The following is a 26,994-nucleotide window of genomic DNA, read 5'->3' on the forward strand; positions in this document are numbered from 1 at the left end:
TAATTTTTAATTTCTCTTTTTAATGTTGAATAAAGTCATGATGTTCTATAATATGTGCGCTTTTTTCCAAAATGAAGGAAGGAGACCTTTTTCTTAAAGTTGTAAAGGATCCAACAATGCCCAGTGTTATTGTTGCTTGAATTCCAATTACTGGGGAAGCATTCTGCACATCTTTACTCATCACATTTCAACATGTCATCTTCTCTAAGTGAAACCAGTTGTATTAAAGCAGCTGTGAAACTCCAGTCATCCTCCTCCTTTCACTAAAAATGTAATCATAAAAATTTTAAATGCACATATTCATTTTCTTCCCCTTCAACCATGCAAGTACACCTCGGCAATATTCACTGCAAAAGTGGTTATCAGGTCTCTCTCTATGAAAATCTTAATGGAAAAATTAGATACACAACAGTCTCCTGCTAAACTAAACATCTGATTCTATTACTTGGAAAAACAGTTAATATTCATTTTTGCATCTGCCACTACAAATCTTTCTAGCTTTGTTATTTTTCTTCCTCTCTATTCTTTTCTTCCATTGTGTGTGTGTGTGTGTGTGTGTGTGTGTGTGTGTGTGTGAATTAGGGAAAAGAGAAAGGAAGCATTTCTCAGATATTCAAGCTAATACTGTACTAAATATTAAAACTGCAGAATGTCAAGATAATATCTACACACAGAAAGGGTCTTGCCTTACTCACATCTAAGAACCTTCCATTTCTTTGTTTCAAATTAAATGAAATCTGAGTCCCGGCCCCTATTTCTCACAGTAGATAAGAAATTTAATATCTTTTTGTTGTGGAGAACTCTTACCCTCTTGAGATTCATTTTGGAACCCTTAAGCACCACGAAATTCCAAAGCATTTGGCTCAGGCCCTATGGCCTGTCTACAATGGTCAGCAGGAATGTAATTGTCTAAATCTGAGTGGTTTTTTGAAGTTGACTGCATTACTGTTTCTATATTAAACTTGTACAATGAGATTATTCATGAGGCTAGGAGCCTTACCTCCTCATGTGCAGCCTTTCTACTGTGCAATATCACTAATAGAAGTCCTATCACCTTTCTCAGGAGGGCAGTAACTAACACTTTCACCTGTGGGATCTCTTCCCTCCTCCACTTGCTTCCTAGTTTAGACAGAAGTTTTAAAAAAATCTATATGCATCTATCTATTATCTATCTATCTATCTATCTATCTATCTATCTATCTATCTATCTATCTGTCTATCATCTATCTATCATCTATCTATCTCTGTCTATCAATTATCTATCTATCTATCTATCTATCTATCTATCTATCTATCTATCTATCAGATTTGACCACACCTAATCTTTAAAGCCCTCCTTCTCTAGGTTTTGAAAACTAAGGCCAGGGAAAGTTGTTTTCTAAAAGTTTGTAAACTTCTATTTTGAGACAAGACAGATAAAAACAATAAATAACCCTCTCAGTTAATGTCCTGGACATATTTGGGGAGGCTTAGGGGAAGGAAGTGATCGTTACGTGTATTACTAATACAGTGTAGTGGGCAGGAAGACAAACTGTGTTCATCTGGGTTCAAATTCCTACTACTCCACTTCATTGTGTGACTTTGGGCTGATTATCTCAACTCTCTGTGCATGTTTCCTTATTTATAAAGTGAGGGTATATTAGTACTGAACTGATGGGGTTGCTATAAGTTAAATAAGTTATTCCATGGAAAGGGCGTAGGAAGTTGTCAGGTGCCTAGTGAGCACTCTGGAAATGTTTCTTATTATTCGTCATATTCTGAGCCTGACTTATTTGAACTCAATAGCCCTCAAGATATAAGGTACAATCTCATAACATGGCCTTCAGAATCAGAGGTTTAAATCCTGACTCTATCAAGTGTCAGACTTTGGGGGAAGCCGTGTAACCTCTGAGCCTTGGTTTCCTCATCTGGAAAATGGAGATATTAGTATCTATTCATAGGGCGATTGCAAATATTAAAAGAAATAATGTATGTGAATCCTTTATTAGATTTATTAAAAAATGTTTAACCCTTCACCACAGTGAGGAATTTATTTCCTCCTCTCATTACACACTGTCCAACTTTAAGATCACACCTTTGTCAAAGGACGCCTTAGTTCATCTTTCTTCCGAATCTCTGATTGCCCATTTTCGTGATCACAGGGCTAGATACAAAGTAGGCATGCAATTATTATAAATCCCTGTTGAATTTATCTAACTCCTCTGGGACTGCAGAAGTAGGCCTAGATGATCTTTCAATCGGCTGTCCCCAGTCATTAGAAGAAGTACACCATCTGTAGACCAGATCTGCCAGCAGGACTCAACCTCCCCAGCTACATTCATTTTTCATGAAGTAGAGCCTCGCTGGGAGAGTGTTCGTTCTTGCCATGGACGCTCTGTCTCGAGCCAAGTGGCCAGGCTGCCTGAATGCAAGCAGATGCAGTGTGCCTGGCCTGGAGGAGTCATCAGAAGGGCCCCCAGGTTGCCTGGGAGGATGCATCTGGTGCCCGTGTTGGGCCAAGTTTAACACATGGACCTGTTAGCAATATTAATGACTGTCCTCACAAGGACCCAGCCAAATGTCATTTATATTCAGCAGTCTTCCAACTCACTCTGTGTGGCCAGGCTGAGTGGGAGGAGTAAGCAATGTGCTTTCAATAGAAATGGCATTTATTCTTTGAGGGAACCATGAGGAGCTCAGCTCACATCCATCAATTTCGTGTTTATTATTGTTTTTAGTCAATCAACTGTTAAAGAGTTATGGTTTTTGTACTGCGTGCCCATCCTTGGCCTAGGCACTTTGTGGAGTGGCACAGAGGAGAACTGTTTCCCCCGGAATATTGATTTACAAGCATTCATTCACTTCCCCCATTGTTATCAAAGAGTGACCATGTGTTAGGTATTGGTGATAACTGAAGAAACGAGACAGAACAATGCAGCCTGAGACAGTCATAGAACATTTCACAGCAGGGAAGGATTTGGCATTGACTAAAGGATGGGACAGATTGGGATAGCTAATGTCTTTCCTGCTTTGGCCCTTTTAATTTAACCCAGCCCATCAATACAAACCGTCAGAGAGATAATGCAAACAGCTTCTCTAGGGACCCATTTTCTCTCTCAGTACTTTTCAGGCTACCTACTAGCTGTTGTTGGAGCTGCAATTTGAGTGTGAGAATGTCTATTTCTCAAACCTAAGTTAACATTTGGAGGCTGTTGGTAAATAATGTGCTCTGGTTCTCTTATTTCTGGGCATATGAAAGAGATAAACTTTCTTCCCCTTTTGAAATTATGTGTGGTCATGTGACTAACTTTGGCGAATGAAATTGAAATGGAAGTGAACCGTGTTACTTACAGATGGAAGCTTGAGAGCCAGTGTATGACTCCCAACAGCCCTTTCTTCTAACACATCATACAAGCCCATGCAGGGATGGAACCCCATTAATGTTGGAGCTCCTGGTGGAACTGTACTGATGTTTATTGTGAAGGAAAAGGGCATGCTTGATGTGTTAAATCACAGAGATTTGGGGGCTGTTTGTTACCGAGGCATAACCTGGCCCAACCTGCCTGAACTGAAAGCATAAGACAAATACCAGTTATAATAGAGGACCAGTGTAGTCATGGGCAAAACAGATGGCTGCCTACCCCTGAGGACAAGGGAGTCTTAGAATTCCTCAAATATAAAAAAAAATTATCTCTCATACCTGCAGTCACAAAGAACCAGTAATTCTCACCCCCTGTATCTTCTCCAAATTATGGCAACATACTTCCTGTCAGAATGCAAATGTGATCCCCTACAGCTGCTATTTAGGCAGCCTCACAGACTGAGTTTCCAGCTGTGTTTCTTTCTAGCCCAGTGGTTCTCATTCTCTGTGTTTGCATGGCCCTGTGGTCTAATGCTTCATCCAGACACAATGTGACTCACCTTTTTCCCTCCTTCAACTTTTAAGGGGAAGAAGTTGATGAGAGCAATTTTCTTAATTAAAAAAGATCTTCTGTGCATTGTATTTAAACCTTTTACCTGGTACTGCTTATTGCTAGTGAAGTGTAGTCCTAAATACCATATATAATCATTTCAGTTACAAGTATTTGAATCTGACATTCTTCATGGTGTCATAGAAAGAACAAGAAGGTGTTTAGGTATTCTATGCCTTTAATCACCTCAAGAAACACTGAATTATTACTCATTTCTGTCTCCTGGTTCAAGGATTCACAAACCTAGCTGTGCACATCCTCTGGAAAAATATATGATACATTAAAAATGAAGGGTTCCAGGAGAAAAGAAAAACTCCCCAGGGAATTAAAGCACAAGCAGCTCAGAGCCAGCTCACAGACAGGATTTGGAGACTGAGAGCTTTAAAGTGTTCAACTTCAGTGCTGTGCACTTGCAAGAGACATAGGGCACGAGAATGGAATTTGCATTCTGTAGTTAAAGCAAAGTTCTGGCCCTGGGCAGAGAGCAGAAGAGTGTGGTACAAGGGAAAGGGCACTTGACATGGTATCAGGAGAGAAGGGACAACCTGTGTTCGCAGAGCTTCACTATCAGGATGGAGGACTGAGGCTGACTATAAACACATAACTTCACAATTTGTTGCAGGACATTCTTTTTTTTTTTTTAGTAAGATAAAGGCATAAATCAATAAATAACTTCCCGGCTGCTTCAGGGAATTTCTGCAAATTGATTTGTCCATACAAATGGCTTGCTTATTGGCTTGCCTATCCAACCTAGTCTATTCCTCAGACTCACTTCAAGACCCCACTGAATTGTGCTACCAGTCCTAAACCATGACCTTATGAACCAAGCCCAATGACAATTGATTTCCTGCACTGAAAGATCTGCCTTAAGTCACTTGAGCTCAGACCCCAAAATTCTCTATTCTCCCAATCTCCTCCTTATGGGATACTACTATGGTTCTGTGGAGATAATATTTCCATTTCTTGCATTAAGTAAGAGTTGGTGAAATACAGTAGATTAGGATCATACATTTATCTAGGTCATATGTCACCTTCTCCTTCTTTAGAAATGTAAAAGCTGTCCTTTTGACTATTTGCCAAAAAATTGCAAAATATATTCTAAACAGCAAATTTATTTTCTCTCACCTGTTTATTTACACTTGCTAATTAACTAGTCCAGTACCAACTGCACAGGGATTCTGGTTGTGTTGATGATACATTTGAACAAATTAAAAGGAAACAAATATGCATGTTTTTTGGCCAAGGAGTCCAAGTTTCAAAGCCAGTCTGCATTGCATCTTTTCCCAAGGGAAATTCAAACAGCTCTGTAAAGAGAAGGATAGCTAGTGCAAATGGAAATTCTATAGTCTCATATGCTGGTGCTCCCTCCTTAAATTATCATTTCCAGTTTCATTATTGTCAAAGAAGTAGATATTCTTGCTGTTGATGATGATCCTATCCTCACAAAATACAAAGATGAGTTTGGGGTGTTTGGACTTTTCTTTATGAAAGCTCTGGCTGTAACACAATTTTGTTTGCAAACGAAGACTGCTTTTTGGGTTTTATCCATTCTAAAATTAATTAGCCCTTTTTATAATTGTAGCTGGCAAATCTCACACTCCAACAGACGGCAAGGCCACTTTTCTGCTAACTCCCTCATTGCAATGGTTTCTGCAAATCAGATCCATTTCTAACAAACCAGACACCAATTTTAGAATTTTGCTGTCTAAACACAAACAGAGGAAATAAATATCCCTTCCCACCCACCAACAAACACCCAGCACTTACTGAGCATCTACCATGGGCAGGAGATTCATTTCACGAATGCTCACAATAGCCCTATGAATTGGGTACTGTGATTAGGCTCATTTTAAGAGGAGAAAATGGAAGCAGAGAGAGCTTAAGTGAATTTCCCTATGGCAGCCACTATAAGATGTGGGGACCCTGGGATGAGATCTTTACCCACTGCCCCCACGACCTGTGCACCTAACCACATTCTCCACGGTGGCCTCTAGCTGATGCACAACAGAATTTTTCTTATTAAACAAACCTCAAATATCTGCATTTGGATTACTACACTGTTTTTTTGTTGTTGTTGTTATTGTTATTGTTGTTGTTGTTTTTTGAGACAGAGTCTCGCTCTGTCGCCCAGGCTGGAGTGCAGTGGCGCGATCTCGGCTCACTGCAACCTCTACCTCCTGGGTTCAAGTGACTCTCCTGCCTCAGCCTCCCGAGTAACTGGGATTACAGGCATGCACCACGAGGCCTGGCTATTTTTGTATTTTAGTAGAGACAGAGTTTCACCATATTGGCCAGGCTGGTCTCGAACTCCTGGCTTCAGGTGATCTGCCCGCCTCAGCCTCCCAGAGTGCTAAGATTACAGGCGTGAGCCACCACACCCAGTCTTACACTATTTTTCCTTAAGACACACACACACACACACTCTCTCTCTCTCTCTCTCAAGGAAATGGCTCTTTATTTTACATTGTATAACAAAAGAGGTAGTTTCTTCCAAATAAAGGGGTGGTCTGTCAGCAGGCAAAGGCAAATGGAAGCTTCTACTTCTAGGAATTGACATGTATTACAGAATCCATAAACTCTTGTGACATGTGAACAAAATTGAGCTCCACTTGCTAAGAGGGCTGCGCTCATCCTCCTGGGTCCCAAAGTCACCCAGAGCAGAAACACCATGTATTAAATATACTGTCACTTTTTCTCTCCTCATGAGGGCTGGATGTTAGCTGGCCCTGACCAGCCCTTCTCTCAAGTCCTTTCAGGAACTCAATCAGCTGTCTGTTGCCATATCCTGGACTCCTTCCTCCCTTTCTGTACCGTTTTTCTGGGGGTAATGCATTTTATTATTTATTTCCAAAATGGTGTGCCCAGTGGTTTTATGTACATTTAAAATTCTTTTTTCAAATAATATAAGATTAATCCATTCTTTTTACTTGTATTAGATCATTTGTTCACTGGCACAATAAATGTAAAAGACAGATGAGATTAGATTAACTTTATTAGTCAGATTGTTACGAAGTCTGAAGGTCTTTAGGGAGAAAACAGATTACTGTTTTTTACAACTGGAAATTTTTTCAGGTGGCTCAGATGCTCTAGAAAACAGGTAGAAATTATTTTACTTTTAATGTATACCTGTTCAAGCTTCCTAATAAATCACTGTACCACACACTTTGGTTCTTATCCTCCCCACACACCTCTATTTAATTTGCAAAATGCAAAGATGCATGCTTCATCTGTGGGTGAATGAGTCTGTTTAATTGGCAAGTTGTCATGATTTTTAGTAATTATGGTTTTTTAACTATGTGAGAAAAGACAAATGGTACATTATAGTAACATCATTTGTCATTTGGTGTAACAATGATCTCTGAATTATAAATGCTGTGTGCATTAATGCATCTGTTATTTCTCTGTGACAAATAGGGTGATCAAAACCTCTAATAGATTGTACTCTTTTCTCTTGACAGTTTAGTTTATTCTTTTTTCTGTGTTTAGAAAGCCCCCTCCCACTCATTAGCCTCTACTAACACCCAAGGCAGGGGTACAGAACAAGGACTGAGAACAAACCAAGCTCTCCTCTTGAAAGCAAACCAAAGTAAAACTGCAGTCATTACTGGTGCATACGGTGCCATTACAGGAAACTTGAGGAGGAAAATTGAATAATTGAAGCCACCATTTACTTGACATCAACTCTTTGCTAGGTATGCATGATTATCCTTGTCATCTCCAGGGAAAAGAAGGCTGGGGGTGGGAGGTCATGGGATGGATTTCAAACAAGGTTGTTCAGCAAAGACACAAGCCTTGTTTGCAGCCTACAGACTTACACATTTTCATCTGGGTTGACTCTGCCATTTGAGCCAACAGACAAACTGTGTGTGTGTGTGCGTGTGTGTGTTTGTGGGTGTATGTATGTGTGTAACATATGCCTTAATAGTGTATTTCATTAAAATATCAAAATAAGGACTATAATACCAAAAAAAAAAGTGAAAAAGGTTTTATGTTGGGGGAAGACTTTGGGAGAGAGAGGAAATGGGAGGACAATGGCAGGCACTTAAATTAATTTGCTACATCTTACTTCTATTAATAAAAGGAAAGGAAGGGAAGGAAAGAGTGAGTGACTAAAAGGATGTTATTACGCTTAGTGAAATACAATATATTTAAATAGAATATTATATTCATGTCACATGTTTATTTCATTTCTGCTGAGTCTCCTTTTCCCCATTGTCTATCAGAACTTGGTTGGGATCCCACTTTCGTGGAGTTCCCCTTTCTCCCTTTCACTGGGATGAGGTGTGGGGAGGCTGAGGGACTTGCACAAATCACAGAGCATGAGCTCACTTTACAGTGGTGAGATGATTCCATTCAGCATAATTAGCTCTATGTGAAAATAAGATCAAAATACCCCTCTGTGAATGCATTCTTAGAAAACCTCATACACAGTTAATTTCCAAAAAGGACAGATTAAAAAAAAATTACAAAAGAAGAAAGCCGCATCAACATCTTAATGCAAGTAAGAATATGTTTGTAGATCATTAACTGCTCAAGGGTATGAAAAGAGGGAAATTAAAGCTAAGTGTTAGGAACCACTGTCTATTGAAGCTCATTCAGCAACAAGGATAAAATATTCTGAAATTATAATGAAAGTCAACAAGAAAAGTTAATTTTAAATCAAAGGACAATTTTCCAACCATGCTTTACTAGGAAATAGGTTTTGCATAGTACAGCACCCTTTTATTAAAAACAAAAGTCAACGGGTGACTATGATTCATTGTGCTATGACATCTTTCTTTTTAGAATTTATAAGTATAGTTAATCTTATCCCCATTAACATTAACAGTAAGGTTGTGATTTAAAATACTATGTTGGCTAAAGGCAATGGAGTATTCTGGATTTGATCCTGAAACACATAAAGGGCCTTAGTGAAAAACTCGATGAAATCTGAATAAAGTCTGTAGTAATATGCCAATGTCAGTTTCTTAATTTTGACAACTGTACTGTAGGGATGGAAAGGTGTGGTCCCTTTCCTCACCCATCAATAAGGTCACAGCAGACACTCCTATAACAAAAGATGGATTAACAAGAGAAAAGCATGCAAATTTATTTAATCAAAGTTTTATGTGTTATGAGAGCCTTCAGAAATGAAGACCCAAAGACTCAAGGGAAATGTGCATTTTTATTCTGAGGTTTGATGAAAAACAGGCAGTCATGTAGAAATGTGACTGGGCCAAAGAGTGTGATCTAAAGAGGGGGAGCCTGGCAAGGCCTGTCTGTTTGGATTCTTCCTGGCCTCTGTGTGACCTTCCTTTCCTATGGGTATAAGACAGGACACCTGTCACATGAGGGTCTTCGAGAGAGAGGGAGAGGGTCAGGGAGTGAACTTTCTAAGTTTTATGGCGAATTTGGGGAAGAGTTCAAGTTTTTATGACCTGGCTTAGGAGAGAGGAATTCTGATTTCTGTGAAACTCTTCAGGAGAAGGAACAGGGGTGGGAGTCAGGAGAAAAGGAAAAGGTCAGAAAGGGTTTGCTTCTGAGGCTCTTCCAGTCCTTTAGCTCAAAGTACTCTGCACGCCAGAGGACCATGCTTTGAGATATCATGTTCTGAGCCCCCACAGTCCATGGCAGTGTGAGCCATAGCACTAGCGAGAACTGGGTGAAGGGCATATGGGAACTCTTGGTATATCTTTGTATATTTTCTATAAACCCCAAATTATTCCAAAATTAAAAGTTTATTAAGTAATTCTATTATGAGGACTAGGGCTTAGGTTAAATGTCTAATCAATTAGTTTGTACTCAAAAACTTTGTTTATGTCAGTGTTTGTTTTTAAAAGTCTTAAAACTTCTGGGATTTCATTCTTAGCTTATAACTATACTTGATTTTTTTTTTTTTTTGAAACTGAGTCTTGCTCTATCACCCAGGCTGGAGTGCAGTGGCGTGATCTCGGCTCACTGCTGCCTCTGCCTCCTGGGTTCAAGTGATTCTCTGCCTCGGCCTCCTGAGTAGCTGGGACTACAGGCGCGTGCCACCATGCCTGGCTAGTTTTTTCTATTTTTAGTAGAGATGGGGTTTCACCGTGTTAGCCAGGATGGTCTCAATCTCCTGACCTCGTGAATTTTTTAAGTGATATTAAATATCTTATCTTTTACTTTTTTTTTCAGTTCTCTTTGCTTATTGCTGCCAACCTAGTTGGGCAGGAGCATAGCCTGACCTCATTCGGTTTTCCCTTGCAGCAGCTGTTCCCTTGGGCTAGTACCGGTTCTTACTTTGTCCTAGTGGTTTTCCTTCCCAAAGTAGATCGTCACGTATATGTACATTATCTCCTCTGGGAAGTCTCCCCAACAACAAACCTCTTCCCCATTCCTTACTATTCTATTCTTTCCTGACTGTCCACTGTCTCTTCTCTGTGTATGTGCCATTTATGCTGAGCCCGGGGCCTAGCACACAATTGCATCTTCACAAATGTCTGTTCACAGATTTGATCATGGGGCATAACCTTCTTAAGGGATGGCAAATCATGGCCCAGCTGCTAAGATGTACATATGCTTTGCACAAAAGTGGAGCCCCACTATATTTTCAATTCATTGAGGTTTTAGTTAGTGGGTTCTGGGGTTTAATTGAATAATGTGTTATATTGCTTTCCAATTTAATGCAATGTGACTTGTTTTTAATGCAGTTTTAGATTGAATTTTGTCTAGTACTCATTTTTTGAGAAACGTCCATTTCTCCCAAGGTCCCAACACCTAGTGATTTTCAGTTTTGCTAAGGTATCAATGTAGATATCAATAAATCAATTTATTATTCAGAACATGTTTTTATGTATGTTGAAACAGCGAATGAAGATGGGATACAATGACTTTATTTCTTTCTTTATTTTTTATTCCAGCAATAATTCTTGAATTACCTAATATTTTATAATTTATTTATTCAATTGATAATATTTGTTATACACCTACTTTGTTCTAGGCACTTTACTTGGGGTAAAGCAGTGACAATGGACAGACCAGGACTCTCCTGGCTGACCATACATTCTAGTGTGTGTGTGTGTGTGTGTGTGTGTGTTGAGGGGAGGAGCATGGGAGTAATAAATAAACAAGAGAAAAAAGCCAGGTGACATAAAAGAAATGATGAGCCTGTGGTAGGGCCACTGATGTGAGAATGGTTGAGGATGATTCTTTAGGAAATACTATTTAAGCTTAGTGTTGAAGGAATCAAAAGAGCTGAGCTCTGAGGAGCAAGGGGCCGATGTTCCAGGCAGACAGAGCAACAATTGTGAAGGCCCTGGGATGCGAATGAGTTTGAGCAGGGCTTAAGGGTCAGAACAGAAGTCCAAGTGGCTGTAATTAAGTGACCATAGGAGAGACAGGTGCAGACAAAGATTGGAGCAGTGGGAAGTGCTGCTTGGCTTTGTTAGCTTGGGCTATGTAAGCAGAAGGTCTTGTTCCCTTTTCTGGTGGATTCTGTGGAGGTTACAAAGAAAAGCAAAATATATTTCTTTTTCCCAAGAGTGTAGTTGGATTAGTAGACTATACAAGTAACTACCATACATGCAGTGTTTGAGAGCAGTCCTTAGATATATCAAGAGTGGTGTGGGAGAAGAGGAAAGGAATCCTCAAGATTAAGGGGTAATCAGGCACACCTCATTTGGCTTTGATAGTGGGATTTGATCCTATTATGCCTGCAATGTGTCAGACATTGTCAAACATTCAATGTATAAAGAAGAGTAAGACATGGTCCTGGCCACGTTTTTCTCTATGAACTGCTGGGGGATATAGGAAGACAAAGATGATGCAGTGTGGTGCATGAATCCACAGCAATGTGCATGGAAGTAATGTGGCCAGATGTGTTTATGTGTCAAGCAGCATGCACATGATTTCACCCCCATGGGGAGAGGAAGCCAAGGACCTGGTAGAATATTCGGGTAGAGGAAGGGTTTGAGGAATGTCCAGAAGTGAGAAAATGCTGAGCAGTGGTGGAAGATTAGATGGCTAAGATGGCAGTGTCACACTCGTGAATTGCTCATGCTGATAGTGTTTGTCCAGTAAAATCAGACTTCCTGTATTGCATTTTATGAATTTGCATACCTGCCTTTTCATTATTCATTATTGCATACCTGCCTTTTCAATAATTCAAATAATGAATTATTTCATTATTTCATTTTCATTAATAATGAAATAATTATTTCATTATTAGTTGTGCTGTGCACATGGTGGGCAATTGGTATGATTTTGTTGAACCGATAAGTAAGACAACATAAGAACTTCACCATCTGCCTCACACTTTCAATGGTTTGTAATTGCCACACTGCCATCTGAGTGATTTTTCAATACTTCCCCTCACTAATTAGTTTTGCAGAGCATTGCCAGGTGGCCTGTTCACCTTTCTCAGGACTCTTGAGGGTATCTGAAAACCCAGCAATCGTACAACAAAGAATTTGACAGAATGCCATAAAACACGTTTCAGACATTGTATGGGTAGCCCACATAAAGAGATTACAAATCTTTGGGCAAAATGGATCATCTCAGCCTTGTTGATGTCCCCTGTCTTTTAGGTTTGGACCCCCGGGTTTTCTGGCTCTCACCGGGAGTGCTGGGAAGTGCTGTGTCTGTGAATCAGTTAGGAACATTCTCTCACTTCTACTTCTAAAGGGCTCTTCTCTGCCGGTTCCAGTTAGATCCCTTGGTCGCTTGGTGAGCTTCATATCCCGCAGCAAATTCTGTCTGCTCTGCATACTGCATACAGTGACTTGCACAACACCAAGTTGCTCTCAAATGGCCCTTGAAGGGTTGAGAAACTCGGCAATTTTCTTTGGGAGTTGGTGTCTTGTCTCTCATCTTGCCCTTCTCTTATTTCTTCGTGTCTTCTTTAGAGATTTATCACTGGGCATATATATCCCTATGGACATGGCAATATTTTCCAGAGAGCCTGGATAGCTATAAGAAAATACATTTCTAGATTGTTAACTTCCATCTGTATTCGTCCCTAAGATTATTCTGCTCAAGAGTCCCTCTGTCAGTTCTTCTCCATTCCCCTTTGTCAATTGCTCTTTTTTTACTCTACAGGAAACAGTGGGAAAAGGCAAGCACCGCTCTCAGCTATCTGGAAATTGCTCTGACCCAGTGTGTAAAACCTCTTGGGCACTCAACAAAAGGACAGCTCAAGCATGTTTCCTTCCTGAGGACAAAGGCTTTGTTTCTGTGAGGAAGCATGTCCAGACAAGGCACCATGCCAGAGCAAGGTGGTTAACATCTCAGAATTCTCACTCAGCAGCAAGGAGCTCATAGAAGCCATATGTAGTACCAAGTTGATTGACTCTAGAAATGAAGTCAGATGTTGTCTCTCAGAAATTTAACCTCTTTGGCTGATAGGTTTGATTGAAAACTGGAGTTTCCCACTAATTGAATGAACAAACTCTGCCGATTTCGATCAAAATATATTTAAAGTATTATAAAACATGTAATACATGGGAAACCATATCTTTTGCAGTTATTAGAATTATGTTACAAATTTCAGATGTCAACCTAAAAACTCATAAAGACCCCACTGGTTTCACAATTTTTCCGTGGGGTAAATGAACCAAACAGTTCTTGCTGTTCAGTCTCCAGTCCCCACTTGTCCATGCTCTCTCTTTTTAGATTTCCTCTTTCAGTCTCAGCAGCAGTTCCTCAAAACTTGTACATGAGATAGAAATAACATTATGTTTAGAAAAGATTTGAGTACTTAGAATATCACAGTGGACTTTTTCATGTGAAATATGATACATTTATACGTTCTTTACACAAAGGAATAAAGTTGATTCCAAGGCTCTTTTTAATATCCTGACGTGATCTACTTTTGCAAACATTATACTTAAGGTATTCAGTTTGCATTTTTGAGGAATCAAAGCCTTAGGGACTTAAGTGGCTGCACAGTCTAGTAGATTATTAATGAGCTTACAGCTAAGTAGAAAGATAATTAAGAATTTATTCAGAGAAAGACCTAATTCAGGGCTGCAGTCTAGGAGATGGGGGCTCGTATTCAGCCCCTAAGTCATGAACAAGAGGCTCCTTGACAACAAGTTCCTTCTGGATGAAAGCAAATCAGAGTCAAGTCAGTTGTCAGAAATATTCTAGCCTAAAGGGAAAGTTATTTTAAAAGTATGTCTTATTTATTACCTAAGTGTCAAAGGAAAGTTGTGGCATAACCTGGGGATTAATTCAGTCATACGCTTGAGATGAAACATAGCCCCCAGGAATATTTCCGTGTGCTGAGATCTATCAAAGCCTTGGCACTAATGGGTACACCTTCCCCTCTGGTCAGCAACATGACAAATAAACTCTTGATATCAGAAGACTTGCTGAGATAGGACAGGCATGGTATAATTACATATTTTCTCTTTCTTTGAACTTTGGAACTAGAAGTGCACAAAGGAAAGTTATCTTAAGTGAAAAAAGTAGCTTGCCAAGCAGGACAGAGACAAGTGAATAGCATATGAGTGGACTATACCTTTGCCCAGCTGGAAGTCTTTGTGGCATGATGTAAAATGGGACTGCTGAGGATTTTGCAATGTGCTCAGAGAAGCAAAGATGCAAGAATGGCCTAGGAAGTGAAGAAGAGATTTACAAAGTGAGAGACAGAGGGAGAGAGAAAGAGGGTGGCTGATTTAGAATGACAAAAAATATTAGTACAAATATGTCTAGGGGAGGAATGCAAATGTGACTGAAAAATATGAAGAGGATTAGACATTAGAAGACCATACAGATTTTGCTAAAGCAGGTGGTAAGCTATTTGAAATAGAGTGGTAGAACAGAGTCACCATGAGATACAGAATAGCCCTGGGGTGACAGTGTCGCTCAGTGCAGGGGTCAGCAAACTACATGGTCATGGGTCATTCTGCCTGACTGCCTGTTTTTGAATGGTCCAGGAGCTAGAAATATTTTTTACATTTTTAGAATGGCTAAGAAATATCAAAAGAAAAATATTTCATGACATGTAAAATAATATACATTTCAAATTTCAGAGTCCATAACTAAAGTTTAACCTGGAACACAGTCCTGTTTATTTGTGTGTGCATAATCTATAAATGCTATGTGTGCAGTGTTAAGTAGTTATAATGGGGCCATAGGACCTGTGAAACCTAAAATATTTATTATAGGAAAAAATTTCCAACTCCTTGTCTGGAAACATTATGTTAAGCTTTCGGCCAGATATACATTTTGATTCTTTTACTTTTCCCCTATCACCTGGATTAGCTAGACTCCCTTGGTTTTGGTTTTATCACCTGTAAACTGGACAATAGATAAGTAGTATATTTTGGTGAATCTATGGTGATGACTGAAAACAGTAAAAATATATGCATTAACTTGGCAGTAATTCTTAAAAGTTACCATTGGACACAAACCACTTATCACCTTTTTACCTAAATTTAATTATTTTCCTTTTCTATGGATTCCAACAGCTGTCCTTTTATCCAGGAATTATAAATTATTGAAAAGTCCACAACTCTTATATAATAAACATCTCCTTCTGAAGTTAACACATCACATTGACTTAAAAATTATTTCAAAAAACAAAAAGCATCAAAAGAAAATAAAAAAATTTAAAAAGCTCTCTTCTCTATCTAAACATAAGAATAAATTACTTTTTCTTCCTCTTTACCACCTATCTTCTATATTTGTAATCTCTATTTTTTTACTGTCTATTCCCTCTTCACTTTTATCTATCTTGTGAAGTCCTAATTGGTAGGTTAACATTGACTCCCAAATCACTAAATCTTACGGACAATGTTTAGTCTTCATCAATCTTGACATCTTACAAGCAGTTGGTCTTGTTGACCATTCCTTCATATGAATCCTCTGCGCTTGGACCCAACTCTGCCCTGCCTTGTTTTTCACTGACATCTCTTCTCCCTCTCTTACTGGCCATTAAATATTATACATCCTAAAGACTCCTCCCATCCTCCCCTCTTCCCTGTCAGTAACACTTATAAATTTGGCCATATACATAAAACGCAGACCTCATACACCAAACCTCTTTTCCATTGACTGCCTCCCTGACATCTCTTCAATGTCTTCATGCTCGTTTAAACTCAACCTCACTTGAACAGCACAAGATGAAAACAATTTACAAGTGTGAAGCTCCTAAAACGTGAGTTTGTGTCATTTGTGTTTGAGGACAAAAGAACCAGGGCCCGCATGGTGTTTTAGAGTGAAAACGATGTTGTCATTTAGGCTTCTGGGCACATATCGATGGCTCTATCTTTTTGATTTCGTGTAGCCTGTCAGATGTACTACACTATTTGTAACAGTGTTGTCCCATTCTCTGGTCAAGGGTTGTGCAGCAAATTTGATGCATGAGAAAAAGCTTGGGAAAGTCAAGAGTGTTTAATCACATGAAGGAATGATTGAGGGAGGCAATATTTAAGACGCTGGAGAAGAGGAGAGCATTTTCTTTAAAGCATAAATACTCAGCCATCACTCTTCCTATTCCTCTGGTCCTGTAGTCTAGATATACACTTTGTTTCCTTGAAAATAAATTTTCTTTTAGGACTTTAATCTGTAGAAAATTTGTTGTTAACTTAAATAAGAACTGACTCATTTCCTAAGGTTTTGTAATCTGATTCAAATGTGGTAGATGGAAGATTTTGTCTTGTGAAGAATGTATCAGGATACACCAATTTGGATTTGGACTGGAAACTCTTTTTGTAATTATCAAAAGAACTGACTAACAATTATGCATCCATGGGGCATGGGTGTATCCAGCATCTAGAAGCTGGATACAGAAATGTCACTGCAAACCTGGAATAAAAATACTTTTTTCCATATTTAGAGAAACTTTGCTCCTGAATGGCTACTGGGTAAATAACGAAAGTAAGACAGAAATAAGTAAGTGCTTTGAAACCAATGAGAACAAAGACACAACATACCAGGATCTCTGGGACACAGCTAAAGCAGTGTTTACAGGGAAATTTATAGCACTAAATGCCCACAGGAGAAAGCAGGAAAGATCTAAAATCAACACCCTAACATCACAATTAAAAGAACTAGAGAAGCAAGAGCAAACAAATTCAAAAGCTAGCAGAAGACAAGAAATAACTAATTTCTTGTTATTTCTGTTAGAGCAGAACTGAAAGAGATAGAGAAACACACACAAAAAAACCCTTCAAAAAATCAATGAATCTGGGAGCTGGGTTTTTGAAAAGATTAACAAAATAGATAGACTGCTGGCCAGATTAATAAAGAAGAAAAGAGAGAAGAATCAAATAGAAACAACTTTTCTTGACTCTTAATTTTATTCCATTGATCTACGTGCCCACCCTGTTGCAAGTACCACACCATCTTGATTATTGTTGCATTGTAATAAGGTTGTTTTAGTTATCGTGGGCCCCTTGCAATTCCATATAAATTTTAGAACCAAATTATCAATTTCTACAAAGAAGACAGCTAGGATTCTGATAGGGATTGCATCAAGTTTGTAGACAAATTTGGAGACTATTGCTATCCTAACAATCATAAGCCTTCTGATACATGAACGTGAGCTGTTTTTTCATTTATTTAGACATTTAAAAAAATTTTTAACAACATTTGTAGTTTTCAGTGTACACGTCTTGCATATTTTTCTTAAATTTATTCCTAATTATTTTTTGATGCTATTGGAAATGAAATTACTTTCTTAATTTTTGGATTGTTCATTGCAAGTGTATAGAAATCCTGCTGATTTGTGTGCACTGATGTGTCCTGCAGCCTTGACGAACTCACTTATTAGTTCTGATCGTTTTTTAGTGGATCACTTAGGATTTTCTATATACATTAACATGTGCTGTAGAGATAGTTTTGCATCGTTTTTCACAATCTAGATGCTTTTTAATTCTCTTTCTTTCCCAACTGCTCTGACTAGTACCTCACATACAATGTTGAATAGAAAAGCCAAGAGCAGACATTTTTGACTTGTTTCTGACCTTATGAGGAAAGCATCCAGATTTTCACTATTAAGTGTGAGGTCTCTTACGGGATTTTCACAGGTGACTTTCACAAGGTAAGAATATTTCCTTCTATTTCTAGTTTGCTTAGTGTTTTATCATGAATGTGTGTTATGTTTCATCAATATGCTTTCTGTAGCTGTTTAGACAATATCATGCTTTTGGTTTCTTATTTCGTTTACATGATTTTTCAGATGTTAAATTTCCCTTGCATCTTTGGGATAGATCTCACTTGGTTATAATGTATTATTCTGTTTCTATGTTGCTAGATATGGTTAGCTAGTATTGTGTTGAAGATTTCTGTTCTCTATAAACATAAGAGATAATGGTGGTCAGGCACGGTGGCTCACGCCTGTAATCCCAGCACTTTGGGAGGCCGAGGTGGGCAGATCATGAGGTCAGGAGATCGAGACCATCCTGGCTAACACGGTGAAACCCTGTCTCTACTAAAAATGCAAAAAATTAGCCTGGCGTGATGGCGGGCTCCTGTAGTCCCAGCTACTCGGGAGGTTGAGGCAGGCGAATGGCATGAACCCTGGAGGCGGAGCTTGCAGTGAGCTGAGATCGCGCCACTGCACTCCAGCCTGGGTGACAGAGAGAGACTCCATCTCAAAAAAAAAAAAAAAAAAAAAAAAGGAGATAATGGTTTGTAGATTTTTTTTATCATGGTATCTTTGTGTAGTTTTGGTATCAGGATAACACTGGCTTCATATCATGCGTTGGGAAGTGTTCCGTTCTACTGTTTGGAAGAGCTTTTGAAGAATTAATGTTTAATTATTCAAGTGTTTGATAGAAATAACCAGTGAACCTTAAATCAGTTTTGGTAGTTTATCTCTTTTTAATAATTTGTTTATTTTATCTAAGTTATCTAATTTATAGCCATGAATTTTTCACAGTATTTATCTATAATTCCTCTTATTTGTGCAAGGTTGTTGGTATTGTTTTCTCTCTCATTTCTGTTTCTAGTAATTTGAGCTTTTGCACTGTGTTCCTTGGTTAAACTAGCTAATAGTTTGCTGATTTTGTTAATCTTTTCGAAGAACTAGCTTTTGGTTTCATTAATTTTCTCTTGTTTTTCTATTCTCTATTTTATTAATTTCTGCCATAGTTTTTATTCTATCCTTATTTTTGGTTTAGGTTTAATTTTTTCTTTTATTTTTCTCATAGATTAGTGATTTGAGATTTTTTTTAAATGTAGACATTTTAGAGCTATAAGTTATCCTCTACACATTGCTTTGCTTGTATCACAAAAATTTTGGTATGCTGTATAATAATAATTATTAATATCATTAGTGCTTTCTAATTTTTCACTTAATTTCTTCTTTGAAATTCTAAAGTGTTTAATTTTTATATAATAATTTTTCAAATTTCCTTCTGTTATTTTCTTATTGCATTCCACTGTAGTATGAAAATATATTTTGCATAATTTTATTATTTTAAATATTTATTGAGGTTTATTTTATGAGCTAGCACATGGCTTATCCTGGAGAGTGTTTCATGTGCTTTTGAGTAGAAGGTATGTTTTGCTGTGATTGGTTAAAAAAATTACCTAGATACTTACTAAGTCTAGTTGGCTTAAAGTGTTTTCCCATTTCTCAATTTTATTTTTGATATGCTGCCTCGTTGATCTATTCCTTATTGAGAGGGTGATATTGAAGTGCCTATTGTTGGAATGTCTATTTTTCACTTTGTTTATGTAAGTTTTTGATTCATAATTTTGGGACTCTTGTAAGGTGCATATATGATGATAATTGTTATATTGTCCTGATAGATTGATCATTTTATTACTATTAAATGGTCCTTTTTATCTCTGATGACATATTTTTATTTAAATGTCTATTTTGCCTGAAATTAATATAACAATTTCAGCTTTCTTGTATTTGTTGTTTCTATGGTATATATGTGTATATTTATAATATTTCAGATTTTATTTTCAATGTATTATTGATAGTATATAGCTGAATCCTAATTTTTAAAAATATCCATTCTACCTTTTGGTTAGATTTTTAAACCATTTACTTTTAATGTTATTATTGATATAGATGGATTTACATCTGCCATTTTACACTTTGTTTTCGTCGTAGTAAAAATAAAATAATGTTCTACTACCTAGAGCATGGCACATCAAAGCAGCTGTCTTCTGCACTAATTTTTGATGCAATATTTATTATAATAAAAGTTCGCATGCATGTGTGTGTCTGTTTTAGGTTGGTTACTTTCATCTTTATTTTTTCCATTTTGGTGCCAAAAAAGTATTGTTTAAATTACCATGGCCTAGAAGTATGTCTGAGTAGTTGGTAAGGTAACTTTAGTGAGATTGCACTCACTATTTATGTCTAATTATTCCATATATATTTCATAAAAGAATTTCTCAAATCTACAATATATTCATTGGGGATTTTATTGGAAGGACATTAAATTATAGATTAAGTTGATATAGAACTGACGTCTTTATAACATTAAACCCTCTTACACACAAACACAGTATAATCTCTCTGGTTATAGGTTTTTGTATATGTGCATAGATTTTAAAAGTTTCTTTAGGCTAAGCATGGTGATTCACACCTGTAATCCCAGCAGTCTGGGAGGCCAAGGCAGGTGGATCACTTGAGGCCAGAAGTTCAAGACCAGCCTGGCCAACATGATAAAACCCTGTTTCTACTAAAAATACAAAAATTATCCAGGCGTGCTGGCACATCCCAGTAATCCCAGCTACTTGGGTAGCTGAGGCAGGAGAATCACTTGAACCCAGGAGGCAGAGGCTGCAGTCAGCCGAGATTGGCCACTGCAGTCCAGCCTGGGTGACAGAGCAAGACTCTGTCTCAAAAAAAAATACCAACAAAAAACAAAAAATGAAAACAAACAAAGAATCAAACTTTTCTTCATAGAGGCCTTATCCTCTTTCTCTTGTTGGTAGGTTAATTCCTTTATACTATAGTGATTATCTTATTGTTGATATTGAATATAGTATTCTATTATAATTTTCCTTTTTCATTATGGTTATTGAGAAACACTTCAGAATTTTATAGGTTATTTTGTTACCTAGCAATCTTGCTGAATTTTTAAATTAGCTCTAATATCTTGTCAACATGACTATATAATCTGCATATACAGTAATTTTATTTCTTTTCTTTCAATTTCTATAATTTTATTCTCTCTTGTTAAAGACATTCTTATTTTACTACTTACTTTAAATGAAATGATTCTTCAGTTTCTGCATTACGTGTGATGTTTGCTATAAGGTTTTCGTAAATAGCATTTATCAGGTTAAGGAGATTCCCTTCTATTTCTACTTATCTTTAGATAGTTTAAATTTGGGAATATGTCTTGAAGTTATTAAATGTCATTTTGACCTCTGTGATGTGATTTTGTGTTTTTCTACTTTAACCTGTTAATTTCATGACATAAAATGATTGATAAGAATGTAACAATTTATTTGATTCTGCGTTCCTGAGAAAAATCTACATGAAATTACATTTTGCTTCATATACTCATGGTTTGCATCAACTAAAATATAATTTAAAATTTTTGCATCTATGCTCAAAAGAAAAATTAGTCTGTATTTTTTATCTTTGCATTTTATTATCTCATCTAAGTGTTAAGCATTATTAATATCATTTAAAAAGCTGAGAATTTTCATTGTTTTTCTAGTTTGGGAACAACTCATTTATGAGTGTGACTTTGTTTTTTGAAGTATGGGAAAATCTACTTGTAAGCCATTTAGACCCGGAAATTTTAGAGGTAGCGTGGTTGTGGAGGATTGTTGATGATCACTTCATGTTTTTATGGCTTTTATTAACTTAGTTTTTAAATCCATTCTCTATTCCTTTTTGTGACAATTCTGGCAGTCTCTTATTCCTAATTTATTCCATATTTATTCCTGTTAAATGCATTTTTGGGTTGTGGCTTATTTTTTTTCCAAAATGTTCTATTATTTTAAGATTGCTTCTATATTTGTGTTTAGTTTTCTCTGTCTCTCTCTCTTTCTGGCTTTTGCTTTTTTGCTTTTTAGTAACTCTTCTCTCTGTTGTTACTGCTTTTTATGCTTACTTGTTTTTAAATGATCTGTGCTTTCAGAGGTTTATCTTATTAAATGTACTGATCATTTGTATTGTTTTGTTGTTTTCTAATTCGTGGATTTGTGATATATTTCTTGATCTCTTTTCTAATTTCTTTAAATTTATGTTTATGGTTTATTTACTTCGTTAATGCAAACACTCAAGCTCATTTATTTTGTATCTTTTTTTCTTTCTCTCTATCTTTCTCTCCCTCCCTCCCGTCCCTCTCTCCCTGCCTCCTTCCCTCCCTCCCTCCCTCCCTCACTCCCTCCCTTCCTTCCTTCCTTCCTTCCTTCCTTCCTTCCTTCCTTCCTTCCTTCCTTCCTTCCTTTCTTTTTGTGAGATAGGATCTCACTCTGTTGCCCAGACTGGAGTGAAATGGTGAGATCATGGCTCACTGTAGCCTCCACCTCCTGGGCTCAAGCAATCCACATGACTTAGACTATAGGCATGTGCCACAACACTGGCTAATTTTTTATTTTTTGTAGAGATAGGGTCTCTCTATATTGCACAGGCTGTTAGCAAACTCCTGGGCTAAAACAATCCTTCTGCCTCTGCCTACCAAAGTGTTGGGATTTCAAGTGCTAGTCACTGCACCCAGGATTTATTTTTTTTAAATAAACACATTTAGAATCACTGTTTTTCCCACTAAATAAACATTCTGATATTTTGAAATTTAACTATCTTGCATGAAGAACTTAATACTCTCAAGATTTCACCTTCAACCCATTGGTTAGATGAAAGTATGATTTTAAATTTTCCAAACTTGAAAATGGTTTTTGTTATCTATTTGACACTGATTTTCAGGTTAATTGGATTGTTGTCAGAAAAAAAAGTTTGTGCATTAAAATGTATTGAGATTTCCTGTATGAATTATTTCACTATTTTACATGCTTTTGAGAGAAATACAGAGTCTTAATGAATAGCACAAGAACTGTAAAATGTATCCACTAGATTATACTTGATAAGCATGCTGCTCAAATCTATAAACTAGCATAATTTTGAGAATAGCGTGTTTTGGGATGTGTGTATGTGAATATGTTTACATGTGTGTGTAAAAATTCCAACTACATTTGTAGCTTATGTGTTTTCCTTATTTTGTTGTTTGATATATTACATAGTTTAAGGCTACATAATTATGTAATATAAGGTTATGAATATTGTATCTGCTTGGTATCATTTTTTCCTTAAGTCACTATGCACTATTTTTTGTCATATTTTAATATTTATTTGAATACTATTTTGTCATAATAAACTGACTAGCTTGTATTATTTTAACATTTGTTAATTATATTTTTCCCATCTCTTTGTTTTCAATCTTGCCATATTTTCTTCATCTTTTAAATATATATTATTAGTTCTATTTTATTAAAACTAATAAATGTGTCTTTTACTTGGTTAATCTATCTATATGTGTATATCATAAAAACAGATAAAAGTGAACTTATTTCTGCCACTTTTTCTCTTATTTTATAATTAGTATGCTTTCTCTTTGCTTTGTTTTATTTCTTTTTCCGACTATTGTTAGGTAGATTTATTTTCTTTCTTTTTCTTTTTCTACCTATTTCTATTTCTAGCTATAAATTGTGCCTAATTTATTAAGGCATGTATGTATACACATTTTGCCCAGTTATTGAAGGTTATTAATACTATATACTCTCCTAGGGGAAAAGCAATAGTTTTATAATGCTTTGCCACTCTCTTATCGTTACCTCCCCAAACCATCAATTTAAATGACAGTTTTGCCTGAAGTTTTAATCTCAAATTGTTGCAGATATTCATGATGAGGTTATATTTTTCCTGTAGTCAGAAATATACCTTGCATTTGTACTTTGTGGGTTCTAAGACACATTTAAAAATAACACTTTAACTTTTAAATAAGTATCCCTCAGAATATAAATGTGGGAAGAGAGCATGTTGTCATAGTTTGATCTTTTTTTTTTCTTGGTGGCACAAAATGGTGCATCACTCAATATCATCTGTTGTTAAATTAAAATGGTAATTTCTTTCCCTGTTTTTGATTCTCCTTCTTCTTGTCTTCTCATGGAATCATTTATTACATTACTGTAACTCTTCTCCCAAAAGTTCTATCAGAGAAAGTCTCTGTATTATGCATTTTCTGGGACCTTGCATGACTTTGCAGGGGATGTCTCAAGTCTCCTAAAAAGCTTGGCACTCTTCGAACTCTCACTAAAAAAAATTAGAGAGTGCCAAGCTTATTTTAAGAAAATTGAAATCTAATATCTTTTAAAAACACAAATATTAACTTAAAAAATATATTATTATTCATTTGTCACTAATTCTTCTCTTTAGACAGTTTGACACTTTTGCTTTTACATTTTTCTTAGCTTTATTTTTTAATACTTTTCATTCTTTATTTCCTCATGCTGCTTTTGGAAAGATATTCTTAATCCTACTTTTAAGCTCACTAATTTTCGTTTTGAACCCATCTGTTCTATAATTCAACTTATTATTATCAGTTTGAGCACTTTTTTTCAAGCATAAAATAAACAAATTTTATCTTAAAGATGAGAACTTAATGGCTTGTGCAACCAAAATGTAACAGTCTTCAGCTGTAGTATCAGCAGGGCTCAGATCTGATCTTCATGTGTAGACTTTATGCTCAGGCTGACTTCAATCATGGTAGAGAAATGGTTTTAGGCTTCATACCACATCACCCAGAGAAAGTGAGAAGCATCTATGTCCCACAAGTCCCTGGAGGAATCTGACAGTCACATTGATTTGACCACTTTAGATTACATGCCAATGCACAAATCAGTCACTGTAGCAAGGGAGACAACACATATTTGTTAGCTATCCAAGGCCATGTTCTTTGAAAACCACACATAAGCCAATAGGAATCATGGGCCACTGGGCATGGGAGACATTGTGTGCTAGAGAGGCAGCTAATTGGTGTTCATGAATTCTTTCAAAAACGTTATTTTTCGTGTCCAATATCTCCCAACTGTTTCTTATCCATAACAACTTGTCCTACTTGATGTTTGCAGGTGCCTCTATATCTTTCTTAAATACTAATAATGTTTGTTTTAAAATCCCTCCTCCAATACTCACCTCTTGTGTTACAGATAGGCCTCTTTTTGCTTTTCTTTCTCAATGCTTGAGCTTTATCAATACTGTAAGATTGTTTTTGTCCCAAGCTCAGGTTTGTTTTCTTGAGTCTGTTTGCTCTCTAGACTTTTCCTCCTCTCTCTTGGTAAAAGTAGGGGCTGAAGAGCAAGACAGATGTCTGAAACAAGTACTCTAATATGAGCTTCAACCATTTCAATTCTTCATGGCATTTTTTTGCACCCAAGGTGTCTTCTTCCTACTTCCCAAAGCACTACTTTTGTCTGATAACACCTTTCTTTAGTCTCAATTGCCAGGTCCAAGATAAATGGTATAGCTATACAAAAGCTGCTCTGTGTGTAGCCATCCTTTTCATGGCCTTGTTCTGTCATTGTCTTCCTGCATCTGGGTAACGCTACTGCTCTCACACCAGGAACATGTACAAGGTGGACCTTCAGGTAATATCATATCCCTGTACTTATTTGTATAACTCACTATTCTGAGTGTTTACCTGGCCAGCAACAACAACCAGTGTGCTCACATACCATGTGAGAACATCCATGGGGGTGTGAGCGTGTGGGGCATCAATCAGCTCATGCCCAGGGTGCTCTGTCAGAAGGCAAAGGGTGTAGCTCCAAACTGCTACAGTTTTCCCACCCCAGCTGGGCTCAGGCCCTATTCGGGTCTCTTAGGCCCTAGCTCTGTTCTTCTCCCAGCCACCATTTTTCTGTATAGTGAGACCCACGTATCTTCAGTTTTCCAAGTATTTCTGTTTTCTTCTAGTTTACATCCATTCTGACACCTTATATTTTTATTTTCTAATGTCTCCAGGCTTGCTGTGAGGGACAGCGTAGGCAGATGTATCAAAATTTGCCGTTTTGATCCAAATTGTAAGCTGCCCTTTATCCTTTCCTGATAAACTTGGATCTCTTCTATCATTTATACCTTCTCTTCCCACTGACATGATGGATGAGTTTGACTTCTTATCACTCCATGGGAGGTGATACTTATAAGAAGACTCCTTTACTCAGAGAAAGGGAAAAACATAATGATGCGAAATTTTAGGCACAAATGCAAGACATGCTATTATGGGATAACTGTGACTTCTAAATCTCACATTTAGGTAGGAGAATACCTAAAGCATTTGCTGGTGAGAACATCTGGCCATAACATATAATGACATCTAATGAAAAGAATTGTTTTTCTTTTTCTCGATATTGGACATTTTAAAAGTAAACAAATAAAATTTGGAGGATCTTCTTATGACCCCTGAATAACATCCAACAAGGGCAATGAGAAAGAGCTTTGATCATAAGAGTGAACTTAAATTTGCAGCCAGAAAAAGTTAATATGCTTGTAATATAATACTAGAGAATGTTATACCAAACATAAAATGTGTTTCTATTTCCTATTCTCATTGTTGATTTACTTTTAAAAATTTATTCTCCTTGTTGCTGATATTTAAAGTCAGTTCCTTCAGTAAACTATTAAAATAAATGCGATGTAGAAATGAATTCTATGACTTTTTGTTTCAGCAAATGAAATTCTATTTGATTTTCAAGTTTTACTTTAGGTTGAAGATGTAAGTTGCATTAGTTAATGGAGTAGTATGAAGATTTGCAGGATATTTTGGTGACAGCAATTTTGTCAAGGTTTTGTGCATTTTTTCCTTCTTTGTCCTGATCCACATATGCATACACATTTAGCATAGTATATCAGGAAGTGTAAAAATAAGCCATACAAATTACTTTATTCTTTTTCATTTCTCATTTGCAGTTTAACCCCCTCTAATCCTTTCCATGAAGATTACTCAATCAAATTAGTTTACTTACTTGCTTTCTTTCAAGCATGCTTTGTGCTTTCCTTCTCCATTAATTTCTTCATGAGAGTTTTGAGCAGGGAAAACCTTTATTCCTTTTTACCTACATCTTAGTCATGTCTCACTTCCCTCCATTTCTCTCCCTTCTCAGAAACTTT

General features: G+C 36.9%; 1 long non-coding RNA gene across 3 annotated transcripts; it reads right to left on the reverse strand.

The window, feature by feature from the left end:
- LOC105373593 (uncharacterized) lies at positions 1 to 26,994 on the reverse strand. Of its 3 annotated transcripts, none has more exons than XR_923287.4 (3): positions 26,850 to 26,960; positions 25,024 to 26,038; positions 13,544 to 13,607 (listed from the first exon to the last, which is right to left on the reverse strand). It is a non-coding gene; the product is annotated as an uncharacterized LOC105373593 (long non-coding RNA). The 3 variants fall into 3 exon arrangements; XR_923286.4 differs by lacking the exon at positions 13,544 to 13,607 and adding an exon at positions 24,510 to 24,733; XR_007087223.1 differs by lacking the exons at positions 13,544 to 13,607; positions 25,024 to 26,038 and adding an exon at positions 1 to 263 and having other exon boundaries at positions 26,850 to 26,994.

This window comes from Homo sapiens, chromosome 2 (assembly GCF_000001405.40).
Source record: "Homo sapiens chromosome 2, GRCh38.p14 Primary Assembly".
In the NCBI taxonomy this organism is placed as follows: domain Eukaryota; kingdom Metazoa; phylum Chordata; class Mammalia; order Primates; family Hominidae; genus Homo; species Homo sapiens.